Raw genomic sequence first — 20399 nt, 5'->3', positions numbered from 1 at the left:
TTATCTGCATTTCTAGATCCTGCCATTGTTCACCCCCACTCACGCCCTCCACCCCAAGACACTGTGCAGAGGCCCCTCATGTTGGTTCTGATCTACACGTTGACCTCAGAACCTGACACTGAGGATCTCCAGCCTGGGGTTTCCACCATGCTCCACTCCCTGGGTTTCTAGAATTTTTTGCGCTGGAAAAATCCTGAAACTGTAGCCACACTTTGTCCATTATTCCCATTTACGGCTTTTCTTAGCAATCACTGGCCAGCCTCTTCTTGATACACACTCCCAACATGACACAGTTTCTGGGAAATTGTCAGGAAAAGGTTGGGTATTCCTGCAGTGGAGTCTTTGAGTCACAGGCTGGGCGGCCAGTACAGAGCACGAGAGATTCAAACAGGCTAATGGCTTCAGCACAGAGCAGATTTCCGGTGGCCATATGGCTGACACCTAAATGGCCTCTGCTGTTCATTTGCATTTTCACTTGGGCTACTGCTGTAACCCTCAACCTGTCTCTTTCCTTCCCCTCTTCTCTGTGCTCACCTTCCCTGCCCAACCACCCAAAGCCAAAGTCATCTTTGAACACCAGAAATCAATGTCCTGTCTTAGGCCCTTCAATGGCTGGCAATCGTGCTCGGAAATCAAACCCAAACTCCTCATCTAAGGCTTCAAGGCCCTGTGAGTGCTGGCTGTGACTGCCCCTCCAACCTCATCTCCCAGCAGCCTCTTCCCTGCCCTCTGGGCTCCAACCAGAGTTCTCTCCTCTCTCTTCCTGGAACACACCTTCTCTCCTCCCCTCCTTAGGACCTTGCCACTCGCTGTTGCCTCTGCCCAAATAGAATTCCCTGGGTTTTCACCATTTTTACCCTCAGGTTCCAGCTCCTATGTTACCTCTTCCGAAAATCCTTCCCATCCAGTGCGGCAAATTCCTCTCCCATCACCCTCCACCACATTCCCCGAACATTTCTTCTCAGCGCTTTTTAATAATTGCAGTTCTCTCATTTGTTTCTTCTTTTTTTTTTTCTGGCTTATTGTTCTGTCTCCTGTAACAGTTGGAATGTCATGAGGACAAGGACTTTTTTTTTTTTGACAGAGTCTAGCTCTGTCGCCCAGTCTGGAGTGCAGTGGTGCGATCTTGGCTCACTGCAATCTCCGCCTTCTGGGTTCAAGCAATTCTTCTGCCTCAACCTCCCTAGTAGCTGGGATTACAGGTGCCCGCTACCACTCCCAGTTAATTTTTGTATTTTTAGTAGAGATGGGATTTCACTGTGTTGGCCAGGCTGTTCTTGAACTCCTGACCTTGCGATCCGCCCGCCTTGGCCTCCCAAAGTGCTGGGATTACAAGCGTGAGCCACCGTGTCTGGCCTATTTTTTGTTTTTTTTTTGAGACAGAGTCTTGCTCTGTTGCCCAGGCTGGAGTGCCATCTTGGCTCGCTGCAACCTCTGCCTCCCGGGTTCAAGCGATTCTCCTGCCTCAGCCTCCTGAGTAGCAGGGACTGTGGGCATGTGCCACCATGGCTGGCTAATTTTTGTATTTTTAGTAGAGATGGGGTTTCTCCATGTTGGCCAGGCTGGTCTTGAACTCCTGACCTCAAGAGATCTGGCCGCCTCAGCCAACCAAAGTGCTGGGATTATAGATGTGAGCCACTGAGCCCAGTGAGGGACTTTGTTTTGATCAGCTCTGTGCCCTTAGCCCAGTGCCAACATGCAGTAGGTAGTTAATGCATATTTGTCAAACAACTGAAATCCTAAAATTATTTAGCCCTTTGTCATCTTTCAGAACTTAACAAAAGCTTGCTCCATTTCCCAAACGGCTCGACTCTAAACCCATGCCTTTTGGGAAGTCCCCTCATTTCCAGCCCTGTTATTTGAAAATCCCCTCTGTAAATTCGTACCAGCTTTCATAAGAGGAATGTGTTCTAAACAGGATCTAACACACCATGAGAATTTCCCAGCACCAAATGATCAACATGAAACCATGGAAATTATATTGCTATGAATAGTTGCCTTTTTGAAAGTCTGGTTGTAGCATCTATACCTTACTATTCAGCCAAGTCACTTATAGCAACTCATATTTTGAATCTCTGTTCACAAATTTTCTGATTTTTTTTAAGATAACTGACTCCAAGTGTGGTTCAAGTTTACTCGCCTTTCTTTGAGCTCTCTTTTAGTTCTTAAGGCAGGATATTACATCAACCTAGAATTCCAAAATATGTCCCTCTGATATTTATTACTAGAAACACTAAATTCTAGAAACATAGTTCACCTTAAAAGGAATTTAAATGCTTTTATTCATCTGATGCAATTGCTTTTATCTTTTTCTTTTTTTTCTTCAGAAAGAAGTATGTTTTTTAATGGAGGTTTGAATGGGCCAGTTAACTTCTGTAAATGTCTTGTGAAATTTTCACAGGTAAACACACACACACACACACACACACCCCTTCAGATTATCCAAACTGGCTCAAAGTTTCTTCATCTCATGCTATTTCAGCCTTCAAATATGAGACTCTTTTCCTTCCTCAATCACTCTATACCTTATATTTACAGTTTACAGAATTATGAAGTGTGAATTCCTGATCTCATTTAATTTTTACACCTGTGGAGCTCTTAGATAAATGACCCTCATTTTGCAGAGGAGAAAACCAGTTCAGAGTGTGTCCCACTTGACCGCCCTCAGGTATTTGGGGTGCTCCTGACCTCGTGATCTGGCTGCCTCAGCCTCCCAAAGTGCTGGGATTATAGGCGTGAGCCACCGCGCCCAGCCCCCAAACTTTTTCTTTTTTGAGATGGAGTTTCACTCTGTCACCCAGGCTGGAGTGCAGTGGTGTGATCTTGGCTCACTGCAACCTTTGCTTCCCGGGTTCAAACAATTCTCATGCCTCAGCCTCCCAAGTAGCTGGGATTACAGGTGCCCACCATCATGCCTGCCAATTTTGTATTTTTAGTAGAGACAAGGTTTCACCATGTTGGCCAGGCTGGTCTCGAATTCCTGATCTCAAGTGATCCTCCTTCCTCAGCCTCCCTAAGTGCTAGGATTACAGGCATGAGCCCTGTGCTCGGCCCATAACTAGCATTTTTATGAACCGCTCATGCAGAGGATCTCCATGTTTCAGTTTACCTGTGTAGCCTCATCATGGACAGATTTAGTTGTTTCTTTCCCAGGTTTCAAAATGTTGATGGTAGCACAGCCTGTGTCTTTTGATACTACCTTGGATACCCCTAAATGATCCAGGAATTATTTGTGCACAGAGGCTGAGTGTGTGTTATCTAGGTGTGTACTCAGGAAAAGTATCTGTGAGAATCAGATTAAGTATGAGTTAAGTCATATTCCAAGGTTACGTCTGAAGCCTTCTGGTGTAGTGTAGTTTGAAACATAAAACAGCACTTGAAATAAATGAGCTACAACTATGAGCAGCAATCTTTTCCCTAGCCTATGGTTTCTTATAATGATACTTAACAGGAAGGTATTTTTAGGCTTGTTACATTTGCAGAACAAAAGATGGTCACATACCTTTGGCTGAAGAATACAAGGGATGTTATTTTCTTTTTTAAATAAACATTTTGTGCAGTGTACAATGTGAATCTAGATACAGGAAAGCAAACTATTTTCTTGTAGAAAAAAACCAGGCTATATATTTAGCACCTGCTCATTTCCCAGCATGTCCCAGCAGCTATTATTTAAGGTAATAGCTCATTAATACTTTTATGTATAGGCTTTAAAAAGAGACCATTTGCAAAGTTCTTAATTCATATTATTTTATCTTGTTCTCCTAATAATACTGTGAATATTGTTATCTTTGCTTACAACTGAGGAGACTGAGACACAGATCAATTAAGTGGCATGTCCCAGACCACTCACTGGCCCTTCAGAAACAAAGACCCACAATTACACTTTCAGGCTCTGCAGTGCCAGCAGCACAAGCTCTGCCACTCACCATGTGATCTTTTTGTTAGAATTTTCTGAAACATTTAAACTGGAACAAGAGAAAGTGCTAATTACATACTGCTTTTTTCATTTTTGTTTTATTTTTATTGATACATAATATTTGTACATATTTATGCAGTACATGTGATATTTTGTTCGCTGCATAAATGCATAATAAATGTTTGAGCTTTAATTGCCACCAGAGTCTTGGTAACCACCAGGCACAGTGGCTCATGCCTGTAGTCCCCACACTTTGGGAGGCCGAGGTGGGTGGATCGCTTGAGCTCAGGAGTTCGAGACCAGCCTGGGTGACATAATGAAACCCTGTCTCTACAAAAAATACGAAAATGAGCCAGGCTTGAATCACTTGAACCCAGGAGGTGGAGCTTGCTGTGAGCCCAAATCATGCCACTGCACTCCAGCCTGGGTGACAAAGCAAGACCCTCAAAAAATAAAATAAAATAAAATAAAATAAAATAAAACGTCTTAGTAACAAATTTCTAATTTGACTTGTTAACAAATTGGCCAAGATAATACTCCCATTGGATAGTAGGCTACTAAATAATGGGAAGTTTATTTCTTTTATTTCGAAGATGTGTGAGACCCACAACTGGCCATTCTAGTGGGGTAGAGGGCAGAAAAGAGCATGATTTGATAGTTGCAAAGTTTTCCTTTCCTCTGCCCTGGTCACCCAGCAGTCTCCCTCCCTCTCTCCCTTCCTCCCTTCCTCCTCTCCTCCCTCTGGGTACCAGGAGGATAAATGGACACAGACACACTCTGGAACAATGTGGCCATAATGGCATCATTATCCTGGGATGGTAGAAGATAAGTCCTGTCTACCTGACACTCGTCTTGGCCCCATTTCAACTGCCTCTCTTGATTAGGGTCACGAATAAACTAACTTGTTTGCATTTTATAGTTGAACATACTTGATAGGACATAAGAAGGAGGCTGGTGCCAGGGTGGCTTCATAGGCGTGCTACCTGCGCAGTAGAAAAAGCCCACATGCTCAGAAAGGCCTGCACCTGATTAATGCTCTGCTCTCATCATCTTGAAATTCTCAGTAAGTTTTGACAAAGGGGCCCACGTTTCCATTTAACACCTGATCCCTTAAAATTATGTGGCTGGTCCCACTTGGTGGCTTAACGTATCAGCTTCAGAGACAGTGATCCCGCCAAGTCAGAATGCTACCAGATTCTAGGTTTCCCCAAAAAGCCTGGGGATAGGTGAATATGAGGCTAACAGATCCAAAAAAGCATGGGAGCAGGACCTAGTGGACTTAAAGCCTCATTGTGTGTGAGCAACAGAGGATGCTGTCCACCACCTGGCAGAGGGGTTCTCTCTTAGTTGAAGCCAGCGAGGCCTGATGCCCCACTCTAAATGCCAGGAAGATATGTCCTCAGGAATGCAAACTGTAGTTTCTTGATTGAGAGTGCTGCACAGGCAGACAGGAAACGGTCAATATCCAACAATCGATATCCAAACTTTGGGATTTTTTTGCCCTTTTATTTTAGAAAGCATTTTCATTTTAAAATTGTTAATCTTTTTACTCATTATAAATTACATTCAAGAAACACATTTCATTACTGATAAGCAGAAAAAAATTTAGAAATCACTCATGGTCCTACTCCCTAGAGATGATCACTGTTAATGTTTTAATGAACATATATATTTATATACACATATATGAAGAGTCATGCATTACCTAATGATGGGGATACATTCTAAGAAATGTGCCATTAGGTGATTTCATCTTTGTGCGAACATCACAGAGTGTACTTACTCATGCCTAGATGGTACAGTTGACTAAACACCCAGACTATATGGTATAGCCTATTGCTCCCAGGCTACAAAGCTGTACAGCTGCTGCTGTACTGAAGGCAATGGTAACACAGTGGTAAGTACTTGTATATCTAAACATAGAAAAGGCACAGTAAAAATACAGTATAAAAGATAAACAATGAAGCTGGGTGCAGTGTTTCACACCTGTAGTTTCAGCCTTTTTGGAGGCTGAGGTGGGAGGATTGCTTGAACCCAGGAGTTTGAGACCAGTCTGGGCAACATAGGGAGAACTTGTCTCTAAAAAAAAAAAAAAAAAAAAATTAGCCAGGCATGGTGGTACATGCCTGTGTTTCTGCCTACTTGGGAGGCTGAGGTGGAAGGATCTCTTGAGCCCAGGAGGTTGAGGCTACAGTGAGCTGTGATTGCACCACTGCACTCCAATCTGGCCAACAGAGTAGAGACCTTGTCTCAAAAACAAAACAAAAACAAAAACAAACAAACAACACAAAATCCAAAAATTAAAAATGGTACACTTGTAGGTGACACTTACCATGAATGGAGCTTGCAGGACTGGAAGTTGCTCTGGGTGAGTGAGTGAGTGAGTGAGTGAATGAGAAGTGAGTGAATGGGAAGGCCTAGGACATTACTAAACACTACTGTAGACTTTATAAACACTGTACACTTAGGCTACACTAAAGTTTATTAAAAATAGTTTCTTTCCTGGCCGGGTGCAGTGGCTCACGCCTGTAATCCCAGCACTTTGGGAGGCTGAGGCGGGTGATAACTTGAGGTAAGGAGTTTGAGACCAGTGTGGCTAACATTGTGAAACCTCGTCTCTACTAAAAATACAAAGATTAGCCAGGTGTATTGGTGGGTGCCTGTAATCCCAGCTACTTGGGAGGCTGAGGCAGGAGAGTCACTTGAACCCGGGAGGCAGAGGTTGCAGTGAGCTGAGATCATGCCACTGAACTCCAGCCTGGGTGACAGAGCAAGACTGTCTCAAAAAAACAAAAACAAGAACACAAAAACGAAAACAAAAACACACATCGCACAGCTGTACAGAAATATTTTCTTTTGTTATATCCATGTTCTATAAGCTTTCTTCTATTTGAAAATTTTATTTTTTACTTTTCAAACTTTTTTTTTTGTTAAAAGGTAAAACACAAACACCCACATTAGCCTACACCTACACAGGGGTCAGGATCATCGATATGACTGTCTTCCACCTCCACATCTTGCCCCACTGGAAGGTCTTCGGGCCAGTAACACGCATGGAGCTGCCATCTCCTCTGATAACAATGCCTTCTTCTGGAACACTCCTGAAAGACCTGCTTGAGGCAGTTTCACAGTTAACTTAAAAAAAAAATAGAAGCAGTACACTCTAAAATAATGATTAGGCCATGTGTGGTGGCTCACGCCTGTAATCCCAGCACTTTGGGAGGCCGAGGCGGAAGGATCACTTGAGGTCAGGAATTCAAGACCAGCCTGGCCAACATGGTGAAACCCTGTCTCTACTAAAAATATAAAATTAGCTGGGCATGGTGGTGGGCGCCTGTAATCTGAACTACTCAGAAAGCTGAGGCAGAAGAATCGCTTGAACCTGGGAGGCTGAGTTTGCAGTGAGCCAAGATCCCATCAATGCACTCCAACTTGGGTAACAGAGTGAAACTCCATCTCAAAAACAAATAAATAAATACATAAAATAATAAAATAATGATTAAAAGTGTAGAATAGGCTGGGCACGGTGACTCTTGCCTGTAATCCCAGCACTTTGGGAGGCTGAGGTGGGCGGATCATGAGGTCAGGAGATCAAGACCATCCTGGCTAACATGCTGAAACTCCGTCTCCACTAAAAATACAAAAAAATTAGCCGGGCATGGTGGCGGGTGCCTGTAGTCCCAGCTACTCGGGAGGCTGAGGCAGGAGAATGGCGTGAACCCGGGAGACGGAGCTTGCGGTGAGCCGAGATCGCAACGCTGCACTGCAGCCTGGGCGACAGAGCGAGACTCCGTCTCAAAAAAAAAAAAAAAAAAAAAGTGTAGAATAGTAAATACATAAACTGTAACATAGTAGTTTATCATCAAGTATTATGTGCTGTACACAATTGTATGTGTTAGACTTTTATAGAACTGGCAGCACAGTGGGTTCGTACCAGCATTGCCACAAACACATGAGTAATGCTTTGTGCTAGGACATTATCATGATTGCAACGCCACTAGGTGATAGGAATTTGCAGCCCCAGTTTAATCTTACGGGACTATCATCATATATGAGGTCCATAGTTGGCAGAAACATCATTATGCAGCATATGACTATACCTTAGAGAAAAACAAAACAAGATTATGATCTATTTCACTCTATATGGTATCACAAAGTTGCTGCTTCTTTCATTTAGGATTTTGAGAACGTGGTCCCATGTCATTACATGTTCTATTACATCACGTACAGTCTGTCAGATAATTTTAATAAAGTTTATAGCTTACCGAACTAACTCGTATGGTTTGATATTTAGACTGATTATCATTTCTTGCTATTTTAAATGGTGCTGTGACGAACAGATGTGGAGCTACCTTCAAAATTATCCGTAACTATTGCTTTAGAATAATTTTCTAGAAGTGAATTTTCTGAGTAAAAGATAGGAATGTAGTGAGAGATACTTGTCCAGTGGCCTCACAGAAATCTTGAACCAATCTCCATCCCTGTCAGCAGCGTTTATGAGTTTGGGCAGCGTTCTTAGAATCTTATGGGGACTTGGTTTTGTGGGTGGATGAGAGGTTGCAATTGAAACCTAGAAGAGGCAATTTCCTGACTGTCATGGGAGTTTCTAGAACCCCAAGTGGTCAATAAAATGGGGTGCAAATGGATGTAGTTTTTTATAATTTGTAGTCTAGTCAACCGCTGTGGGGCGAAAATTATCCTAAAGGGATTACGACCAAGAAAGAGGTTGCCCAGAGGTTCTATTAGCCTCTAATTGCACCTTATGGTTATATGTAACAGCGTGATCGCATAGTGCTGAATCAGGGTTTATAAAAATTGCACTAAAACCAAGTCCTGTAATTTGAAAATAAAAAACAAGCCTTTTTTTTTTTTTTTTTTTTTTTTTTGCTCCTTACTCAATCAGTAGGAATTATTGGCTTGTTTGGGTTCCCTATCCCTCTCCTCTTCCAGCTACCCTTAAGATTTTTCTTTTTTGTCACATAGAGAAGCATATGTCATGTCAGCTCATTCAAAAGTAAATTCCTCACACTCCAGCTTCTTCCGTAAATTAAAATTTCAGCTTAAATCTTTTTGATGTTTACAAACACTGAGCCTCATAATCCCCACATCTATTTGTGTATCAGACTTCTCTTTAGGGAATCCATAAATAATCCTCCTCCATAAAACAGGCCCGCACCTGGGCTCCTGGAAAAAATCAGTAAGAGGGAAACACAAATAAACCTACTAGAAGCACAGCTGGAATTTAGAGGCTCAGTCAATCATAGAAGCCTTCACATTTTTTTAAAAATCAGCAAAGATTTTATTATGTGGCATAGAGGTTATACATATAGAGAAGAATCAAAATTCTGAGAAATTATTTTCCATCGCACAGAGGCTTCCTATTAAATGGATGTGTGATGTACAACATCTTTAAAGACAGATCTCCCCTGTGGGTTGTAGATGATGCTCCAAGAATACATTCTAATGTCCGGAAGAACCATTACCCACTGACATGCTGGCAGTCATTTTCAGGGACTAGTGGCTTGGGTCTGTGGTTTATTTTCCTACACAAAAGTGCAATGGATTATATAACCTTTACAGTGGGCAGTGTTAGAATTCCCATGGTACGATGGCTTATCCTTTTAAAAATGTATTAAATATAAATGAACCATTTACCATTAACCATAGTATATATTGTTTTCTTGCTTTCATCTTGTGTCTTCTTTCCTTTTCTCGTCTACACACCACTGTTTTCTTTTTCCAACCCCTTGCCTACATACTTTTCTTTGCCTTAAGAGCTTATGTACACATCTCTTTTTGGTTTCCTTTGTAACAACTCCAACACATTTCCTTTTATGTTTTGATTTTTTGCTTAGCTTTTTCTCCCTTGTTTTTTTCACCTCCCCCCAACCAAACCATGTTTATTTCCATTTTTCTCTCAATGGTCTAATTTCTCTCCATGCCTGTCACATTTCACTGAGGTTTGCTGCATGATTAAAATGAAGGAAGCCTTTTCTTCTCATGCTTAAAAAGGAAACTGCCCACTATATAGTTTCAGCTTATCCTAAATGACTGCCTCCCTTGAATAGGATCCCTAGCTCTTTCTTGCAAAACCCAGCTCAAAGAACAGCTTTGTGCTCTGTATAGAACACACCAGGGATATGTAGGTTCAAGCTATGTTGTTCTGAATTTTCAGTGTTGCTTTGTTGAACATTAAGAAGCCCCTCATCACTAGTGTCACCTCTTTCTCTCTCTGCTTCTGCCATTTACAGATGTTTTCAGCTGGCATTCACCCTGCTTGTCAAAAAGGAAATTGGTAGCCCTAAACTCACTGTGTTAGTCTGTATTTTTTGCACTGCTATAAAGAAATACCCAAGACTGGGTAATTTGTGAAGAAAAGAGGTTTAATTGGCTCATTGCTCTGCAGCCTGTACAGGAAGTTTGGCAGCATCTCTTCTGCATAGGCCTCAGGGAGCTTTGACTCATGGTGGAAGGCACAGCGGGAGCAGGTGTCTTACATGGCAGGAGCAAGAGGATGAGGGAGAGAGGGAGAGGTGTCACACACTTTTAAACAACCAGACCTCACAATAATACACTCACTCACCATCACAAGAACAGCACCAAAGGGAGATATCCACCCTCACGATCCAATCATCTCCCACCGGGCCCCACCTCCAACATTAGGGAATAGAATTCGACATGAGATTTGGGTGGGACACAGATCCAAACCATATCATTTGCTAATCAGAACCCAGAAGATGTTTAAAGGGAGGTGTTAACCTCAAACTATCACCCCTAATGTCTCTCTCGCTTGTGGAATGAAAAGAATGTGAAGGGGCATTGAAAAAGAATTCTGCCACAGTGAATGGTTGTTAAGATGTGGCGTGCATGGTGAAGAACTCACTCTGCTTTTTTATTTTATTTTTTATTTTTTTGAGACAGGGCTTTGTTCTGTTGACCAGGCTGGAGTGCAGTGGTGGGATTTTGGCTCACTGCAACCCCTGCCTCCTGGGCTCCAGTGATCCTCCTACCTCAGCCTCCTGAGTAGCTGGAATATACCATTATGCCCAGCTAATTTTTATATATTTTTTTGTAAAGACAGGGTTTTTTCACGTTGCCCAGGCTGGTTTCAAACTCCTGGATTCAAGTGATCCTCCTGCCTCAGCCTCCCAAAGTGCTGGGATTACAGGCGTGAGCCACCACACCCAGCTGTTTGTGAGTCTTTAATCACGGAACTTGTTTCACTCTGGGAGACTCTCTAGAACATATATATCCATGTGAGGGGGACAGCCTTTGCTTTTTGAGATCTTGCTCAAGTCCATTCTTAAATGAGTGTGCTGGGGAAAGGATAATATAAATCCTAAAAGACAGAGTATCTCAGACTCTCCAGTGAGTCATTTCCTCATTCCCATTAATTGGCTTAGACCCAACTATAGACTGGAATGCTATTTTTATGCATTCGTTCACAACTGAGAGATCTAACACAAGGTTTAAGTAACAGAATCTGCCAATTTGAAGAAGAGAAAGAAAATGCCTTACTGCATATTCCAGTAAATTAGGCTGACAATATGTTTCACATTTTGAAATAATTTTTGCCTTCTAAAACATTCATATATAGGCTGAGAATTTTTGGGGGGATGTAACACTGCTTGGAGATAAAGGGGATATTCTCACTACTATTTCCCTCTACTGTGGCTTCCTTGGTATATTTTTTCTTTGTGCTTGACTTTTTTATGGTGGGGTACATTGAAGCTCTATCAGACACAGTTGCTGTCTAATAAAATGTGACTCACCTCTCCATTCCGTTGTAAAAGTTGAAATGGCAGTAACTCAAGTGTGTGGCTGACTCAGTAATTGGCCAGCATAGCCTTTATTGAAATTATCCTGTAATCTAGAAATTAGAAGTTAAATAGCCCATGAAGTCATCCTGACCCAGCTGTTTGGGGCCATGGTAAGAGTCTCTTCTGGAACATTTTTCTATTACCCCTTCAATTTGGTTTTATAATTATCAGTCACGCAACCACACTGATCATGAACTTGGCAAATTTCTTTTCTAACTAGCTGAAAAACTATAGAACATATCACCTAGCAGCAGAGCACATCTTCTGAGATAAAGTAGCAGTTATTTCTTCAATGAAATAACAGATTGGAGGCCGGTCCATAAAACTCAGGAAAACCTATAGGAAAGTTATGGAGATTGTGCTTGAAGTTTAATCTCGTCAGTGTCTAGTGGAGTAACAAGGTTTATCATGAAAGAAAGTTTGTCAAGGTGTGATGCCTGGACTAGTGGTGAAAGGTCGGTATGTCTAGGGGAAAGAATTGAGCCATCTGACTGTCAATGCTGGGCATGGGAAGACTAGAAGGGGGCAGGAAAGGGAGCCAGCCTGGGAGATTTGGGCAAAGTGAAGTGGGCTCAGTGGGCATTAGTTCCAAAAATGCAGGTCTGGCCATGGCTGCTCATTCTCTGCAAGATGAGCTCCAAATCTCTCGCAATGGCAAAGTGGACTATTAAGATTCTACTCACAGGCATGGTGGCTCAAATCTGTAATCTCAGCACTTTGGGAGGCTGAGGCAGGTGGATGGCTTGAGCCCAGAAGTTCTAGACCAGCCTGGGCAGTATAATGAAACCTCGCTGTCCCTACAAAAAATTAAAAAATGAGTCAAGCTTGGTGGCACATGTAGTCCTAGCTACTCTGGAGGCTGAGGTGGGAGGATCCAGTGAGCCCAGAAGGCAGAGGCTGCAGTGAGCCAAAACTGCGCCCCTGCATTTCAGCTTGGGAGACAGAGAGAAACTCTGTCTCAAAAAACAAACAACAAAAAAAAAGATTCTACTCCACCTCAGTGTTTGTTTCATCCCTGATTCCTTGATCATTCTGTTCCCTCTAGCTAGAATACCTTATTCCCCTGTCTACCTGGAATATTTGGATTTGTCTTTTGAACCTCAGTTTAGCTCTCATCTTCTTCAGAAAGTTTTCATTGAACCCACAGATAGAGGATTCATGCTTCTGCCAGGTGCATGCTTCTATTGCTTTACTTATTTAAAGCAGTGTGATTTATATATTTACTTGATTTATTTGTCTACTTCCTATAATGGACCTTGAGCAACCTAAGGATAAGCTTGTGTCTTTATTCATTTTTATGTCTGCCATGTCTAGCACAGAACCTAGCACATAGTAGAAGTTCATTGCATTTATGGAGAGTGAATGAATGAATGAGAGAAGAGGCATATTTTTAGTACAGTTGTCTCTCCGTATCCATGGAGGAGTGGTTCCAGGACTCCCCTTGGATATCAAAATCCATGGATGCTCAAGTCCCTGATGTAAAATGGTGTGGTATTTGCTCATACCCTACACACATTCTTCCTTATCCTTTACATCATCCCTAGATGACTTATAATACCCAATGCAATGCAAATGCCATGTAAATAGTTGTTACACTGCATTGCTTAGGGAATAATGACAAAAGTCTGTACATGTTTAGTACAGGTGAAACAATCTATTTTTGTTTTGTTTTTTCAAATACTACCTATCCGCGGTTGGTTGAATCTATGGATGTGGAACCCACAGATGTGGAACCCACGGATATGGAGCACCTACTGTGCTATGAATCAAGGAGGCAGAGCACCAGAGATGCTGCAGAGTGTGTTTCCATATTGTGAGGGAGATTGGATTAAATGTTACCTAAGAAAACGCCATGAATCAAATAGCATTCCTGACTTTTAAAGAATCATAGATTCAGCATGAAGAAGGAATGTTAGAAATCATTTAGCACAAATCCCACTTCAAGAGAGCAGTCTTGGGCTGGGTGCGGTGGCTCACGCCTGTAATCCCAGTACTTTGGGAGGCTGAGGAGGGCGGATAGTGAGGTCAGGAGATCGAGACCATCCTGGCTAACATGCTGAAACCCCATCTCTACTAAAAATACAAAAAATTAGCCGGGCGTGGTGGCGGGCGCCTGTAGTCCCAAGCTACTCGGGAGGCTGAGGCAGGAGAATGGCATGAACCTGGGAGGTGGAGCTTGTAGTGAGCCAAGATTGTGCCACTGCACTCCAGCCTGGGCGACAGAGCCAGACTCTGTCTCAAAAAAAAAAAAAAAAAAAAAAAAAAAAAAAAAAAAAAAAAAAAAAAAAAGAGAGAGAGAGAGAGAGCAGTCCTTTCTAGAGCCTTTTTTTTTTTTTTTTTTTTGAGATGGAGTCTCGCTCTGTCGCCCAGGCTGGAGTGCAATAGTGCAATCTCGGCTCAATACAACCTCCTTCTGGGGCATTATTGACAGATTAGCAGCTGGCTTGCATTTGAATGCTCCAGGGCCAGAGGGCAATGTAATTTACCAGGAAGCCCATTTGGGTCTCAGATGGCTATATTTGTTTTTCATGATTAGGCATAATTTAGCTTTTTGGAGACTTCATCTTAGTAAGTGCTCAGTAAAATTACCTACTATTATTGTTACGTTATTGCTTTATTTTTTCTTCATTAAAAACAGCTAATGATAGTTGTAAGGGTTTCCATTTCTTCTTTTCTCAAGGCTAACCTCCCTGGTTGCTTAATACCATGACTGGGTTCCCAGATCCCTTATCGTCTCCTCTCTTGCCACGTGGCTCACCAGCCAGGAGAGCATGATCAGTGCTTCTTGTGATCCCGACCCAATTCATTCCAGAAAAAGGCCCCTTTCATCCCTCTGCCCATGCTTATCAGAGGCAAATGCCCAAAGCAGGAGGCTACAGTTGTGAATCACATCTAGTGTAGCATTCATTCACTGAAAGAGAGCTGGGGTAGGAAATGCGATATTAAATAAGTGATCAGGGACACACCAAGCACATATTGTTAAAGAATTAGTAATATTAAATAGAAATTGTTGGAGAAAAAAAACCTTTCTCTCTGTCTTATTTATTCACACATTGCTCATCAAAAAGCAAAACAAAATAACCTTTATATCTTGGAAGCAAAGCCATTTCTAACTCAAATAAATAAACTGTTAAAGAATAAGACACTCACGGAAGATCAAAAAATAGACTGTGGGTCAGGCAAGGTGGCTCATGCCTGTAATCCCAGTACTTTGGGAGGCCAACATGGGCAGATTGCTTGAGCCCAGGAGTTTGAGACCAGCCTGGGCAACATGGTGAAACCCCGTCTCTACAAAAAATACAAAAACTAGCCATGCATGGTGGCGGGCACCTCCCAGCTACTTGGGAGGCTGAGGTGGGAGGATCACTTGAGCCCAGGATGTTGAGGCTACAATGAGCCATGATCGCACCACTGCACTCCAGACTGGATGATAGAGTGAGACCCTGTTTCCAAAAAAAAAAAAAAAAAAAAAAATACATAGACCATGGGTTTTTACTGCACATATTAAATTTTTAAATTCTTCTTGGATGATCTAGGGGAGAAAACAGAGCACAATAATCTGATTCTCCTTTTTTGATGCAAGCAGTACAATAATGAAACCAATGAGAAATTAGAAAGCTTTTCTAAATTTAAAAAAGTTATCTTCAGTTTAGAAACAGCTTCTGAATAATATTGATACATGCCCTTGTGAACTGACACACATAAAGACTATCCCAGTTAGTAACCCACCATTTGTATGATATAGCTTTCAAGTTATTTTCTTCATTTTGGTGATGAGTGTGCACTGAGTGATCCATGTTCTTTTATCCAATTCCTCTTATTCTCAATGATACATATTTGCAAAATGGCTAGGGAGGGAAAGGGTAGTTACATCTTCTGCATAGCAACTGAGATCTGGTTGCTAGTTGAGTAAAAGATGCTGGCTGTGTTCAAAAGAGGCAACTAAACTTGGGGTGGGGCCATGGGGGTGGGAAGAGAAGACGTAAGCTGGAGAAGACTGCCACTCTCAGTGGCTCAGCCCAGGCAAGCTGATATTTATTAACAGGGCTCTTGATTGCAGGTGCAAAGATTGGTTTTACCAGCAGATCCTAGAATAACAATTATAAGGGAAGCAAGATGGCGAATGGTTGCAGAAGACATTATTGTTTTCCATTTCTCCCTTTCCTTTTTCATCATAGGACCCTGATTTTGTGCAGGACCATGCCCCTACCCCGTCTTCCTTAAAGCAACCCTGTGCTCTTAGGGAGGTTGGCCCAGACCCAGGGGATAAATTGTGATTAGCCCAAGCCAATCATGCTGTCTTTTTCTCTTGCTGGTGATTAGTTTGGGCATGGGCACATTAACAGATCTGCTCAGGGAGACAAGAGAAGTGCATTCTGGAATCTTTTGAAAGGCTTGTAAAGAGAGATACACAGAAAAAGATGGTTTCTTATTCTCCTGGGCCTTCTCATGTCTGGATGTGGTACCTGGAACTGCAGCAGTCATTTTAAAACATGAGGGTGCTAGCCTGAGGATAAAACCCATATGTTAAGTAAGGGTAGCTGGGCAGAGATGGCAACACCTGGGGCCTGAGGATTTAACTGAATCACTAAATTAACCAACCACAGAATTTCCTGTCATACACGGAACAGTGCCCCCCCATCCCCATTCATATGTTGAAGTCCTAATCCCCAATACCTTAAAACATGACTGTATTTGCAGATAGGGCCTCTACAGAGGTAATTAAGGTCAGATGAAGTCATCTGGGTGAGCCCTAATCTGATCTGACTTGTCTCCTAATAAGAAGAGGAGCTTAGGACACATGGAGAGAGACACCAGGGATGCACATGGCCAGAGAAGGTGGCTTCCACAAGCCAAGGGGACAGGCCTTAGGAGGAAATAACCTGCCAACACCGTGATCTCAGACTTCTAGCCTCCAGAACTGTGAAAAAATTAACTTCCACTGTTTGAGCCACCCTGTCTATGGTATTTTGTAATCACAGCCCTAGCAAACTGATTCGTATCCCTACCTTGGGACTTCTTCATATTGTATATGAGGCCTTACGACTTTTTTGTTTGTTTTAGGTCACTTGAGTGGAGTTTTCTGTTTAATTCTAACAGGGTTGTTAAAAACACAAAAAAGATATTGTAGCCGTATTATTCTATTATAAATGAAAGCAAGTTCTGAGGCTAGGAGATATAGCTACAATATCTAACACTAAAGATCAGAATACCAGGGAGGATAATCCCAAGTACCATTATCATAAACACAAGGGGTAGCAGGAGAAAGCTGAAAATGTTGGAGGAGGGGTACCATTTACAATGTTTTTTCTAAACACCAAGGTAGAGCCTTGCTTTCTCCTCTCCTAATCCACCCATAGCTGGACCTGATACGGAGCCTCATGAGGATATGGTTGTGGTCAAGAACCACAGTGGAGCTGAGTGTCCTAGGCATGGGCTTAGCCCAGCGACTGTGACCTCAGCTAACCAATCCAGTTAACTAGCAACAGATGAAGAAACAAATTTTGACCAGCTTCAGGGAATGAGAATTTATAATGCCTTGTATATTAGCTAGAGTAGGATAGCATGGGACCCACCTCATTTTATAGGCTTCCCCTTACTAATGTAGGCCATCCCAGGTCCTAACTTCAAAGCAGGAAGTTGGGTAACCACTGAATAAAGAGAAATCCACCATCAACATATACGTAGCCTATATATGATTATATATATATATGTATATTTATAATCAAACAGCTCAGGGTTGGCTCCAAGCTATGAAATAAGAAATGTCCCTTTCATGACTAAATATGAAGTTTTTTTTTGAACCAAGTGTATTTTTCCAGAGAATAGTGGTCAGATTGACCATAGTTACTTATTTCTTTCCCTTCTTCTTTATTTTCTTAGACAGGGTCTCTCTTTGTTGCCCAGGCTGGAGTACAGTGATGTGCTCTCGGCTCACTGCAGCTTCTGCCTCCCAGGTTCAAGCGATTCTTCTCCTGCCTCAGTCTCCCAAGTAGCTGAGATTACAGGTGCCCGCCACCACATCTGGCTATTTTTCTTTGTATTTTTAGTAGAGATGGGGTTTTGCCATGTTGGCCAGGGTGGTCTCGAACTTCTGGCCTCAAGTGATCCACCTGCCTTGACCTCCCAAAGTGCTGGGATTACAAGCATGAGCCACTGCACCCAGCCATAGCCACATATTTCAAGCTTTCAATGCTTAGATTCCGACAGCGCCTCTTTGGTCTTCCACCTCCATGATCTTTTCCCTTCTAACCCATTTTGCTCCCTGTTGAAGCTTCCTAAGATCACTTTCATTATTTCCTCCCCCACCTCCAAAATATTCATCTGGGCCTAAAACTATTGGAGACACCCTTGAGTGCATCCGCCCAGCCTGCAGTTCCACATTCTATCTCTGAGAGCTGCTCTGTCCTGGAGATGGGCCCAGAAGCCATGTTTATTTCATATAACATCACTTCTGTTGTTGCACTAGGAAGAGACAATCAAATTCTCTCTCCTGGAAATTTGGAATTGGAAGCCAAAGAAGCCAGTAGCCTCTGCAGATCATTTGAACTGAGGATATAGGAACTTGGGAGTTGTGGAGTGGATTGTCTTACACCATATTCATGGGCAACAGAGAAATCTATTGTGCAGAGAAGAAAGGATGAAGCAAATATGCACAGAAGCCAAAGTGAGAAAGTATGTGGTGGAGGGATGGGTGGAATTGAGGGATTAAGACTAGGAAGCTTGCATCCCTAGTCCCTGAGAGCTTTTCATACTGGGTTCCAAGGCTTGGGGAGACCTAGCTGCCCATTCTGTCCTGGAGTTCCTCCAGATCTTTTTATTTATTTATTTGTTTGTTTGCTTTCAAAATTTTATTTGCTTTTTTTTTTTTCCTTTTCTGAGATGGGGTCTTGCCATGTTGTCCAGGCTGGTCTTGAACTCCTGAACTCAAGCCATCCTCCCACTTTGGCCTCCCAAAATGCTGGGATTATAGGCATGAGCCACCACACCATGCCTGTTTGTTGGCTCTTCATATGGCAAGCCTGTCCAACCTGCGGCCCGTAGGCTGCATGCAGCCCAGGACAGCTTTGAATGTGGCCCAACACAAATTCATAAACTTTCCTAAAACATTTCCTAAAACATGAGATTTTTTTGCAGTTTTATTTTTTAGCTCATCAACTATTGTTAGTGTTAGCATATTTTATGTGTAGGCCAAGACAGTTCTTCTTCTTCCGATGTGGCCCAGGGAAGCCAAAATATTGTCAGATATGGGGTCTCACTGTGTTGTTCAGACTGGAGTACAGTGGCTGTTCAAAGGCGCAATCATAGTGCACTACCTTCTCAAACTCCTGGCCTCAAGCAATCCTCCACACTCAGCTTCCTGGAGAGCTGGGACGACAGGCATGGGTCAACACATTTGACCATAACCTTTTAAGTTACTCCCTTTGGTTTATGGTGGTTTGAAAAGTTTTCAGTTACTTGTATTTGAAATCACCTTGATTTCAAAGATAAAGTTCAAAGCCTTGGCTTGGTATTCAAGACCAACCCCCATGTGGCTGTCATGCATTGTTCTCACCTTCATATTCTGCTATTCTGTGTGGAGCTTCCTTTATACCAGCCGAATTTCTACCTCTGCACACCTTATAGGTTTCTGGCTCTTTCCTTGTTTCACATCATTTCCTCTGCCTAAAACACTTTTCTTTCTTTTTTTTTTTAGACAGAGTCACTCTCCTCACCCAGGCTGGAGGGCGGTGACGTGATCTTGGCTCACTGCAACCTCTGCCTCTTGGGTTCAAGTGATTCTTGTGCCTCACCCTCCCGAGCAGCTGGGATTACAGGCACTCGTCACCACACCCGTCTAATTTTTGTATTTTTAGTAGGGACAGGGTTACATCATGTTGGCCGAGCTGGTCTCGAACTCCTGGCCTCAAGGTATCTGCCTGCCTCGGCTTCCCTCCCAAAGTGCTGGGATTACAGGCATGAGCCACCATGCCCGGCCCTAAAATACTTTTCTTACCCTTCTTGGCCTGCTAGACTCCTACACGTTTTTAAAGGTCAACTCCACTTTGCCCATCTATGTGAAGTGTTCTACAAGCTTCCTAGTTGTAACAATTTTTCCTTCTTTTAAACTTTCATAGTGCTTATTGTTTCTGTCACCAGCTGTTTTAAGGTTTTAATATAACAACAGCTTATAGTTAGGAGCAAAATAAGTTGGTTTCAGAGAAACTGCTTGATGACAGGAACTATAATACCAGAGTTTGGAAATAATATGAAAGATCAGTAAATGCATCCCAGGATGTCAGAAAAGGAGGGTTGCTGCCCCCCCCCGAAAATATATTGAAGTATTAGCATTGATAAAATAATATCAGACTTGGCCAGGCATGGTGGCTTATGCCTGTAATCCCAGCACTTTGGGAGGCTGAGGTAGGCGGATCATGAGGTCAAAAGATTGAGACCATTCTGGCCAACATGGTGAAACCCTATCTCTATTAAAAATACAAAAATTAGCTGGGCGTGGTGGCGCATGCCTGTAGTCCCAGCTACTCAGGAGGCTGAGGCAGGAGAATCACTTGAACCTGGGAGGCGGAGCTTGCAGTGAGTCGAGATCACGCCACTGCACTCCAGCCTGGAGACAGAGTGAGACCCTGTCTCAAATAATAATAATATCAGACTTGTTGGAAAAT

The 20399-nt window shown here is 42.6% G+C and overlaps 1 annotated feature.

Moving 5' to 3' along the window:
• Positions 207–501: an enhancer, noted in NCBI's record as "tiled region #6534; HepG2 Activating non-DNase unmatched - State 24:Quies". NCBI's record gives its function as "activates a minimal TATA promoter and a strong SV40 promoter by Sharpr-MPRA in HepG2 cells {active_cell/tissue: HepG2}" and the evidence as "EXISTENCE:reporter gene assay evidence [ECO:0000049][PMID:27701403]".

The sequence above is a fragment of the Homo sapiens genome, chromosome 5 (assembly GCF_000001405.40).
Source record: "Homo sapiens chromosome 5, GRCh38.p14 Primary Assembly".
NCBI lineage: Eukaryota > Metazoa > Chordata > Mammalia > Primates > Hominidae > Homo > Homo sapiens.
Note: the sequence above shows the minus strand (reverse complement) of the source record. Positions and strands in the feature narration are given on the sequence as shown.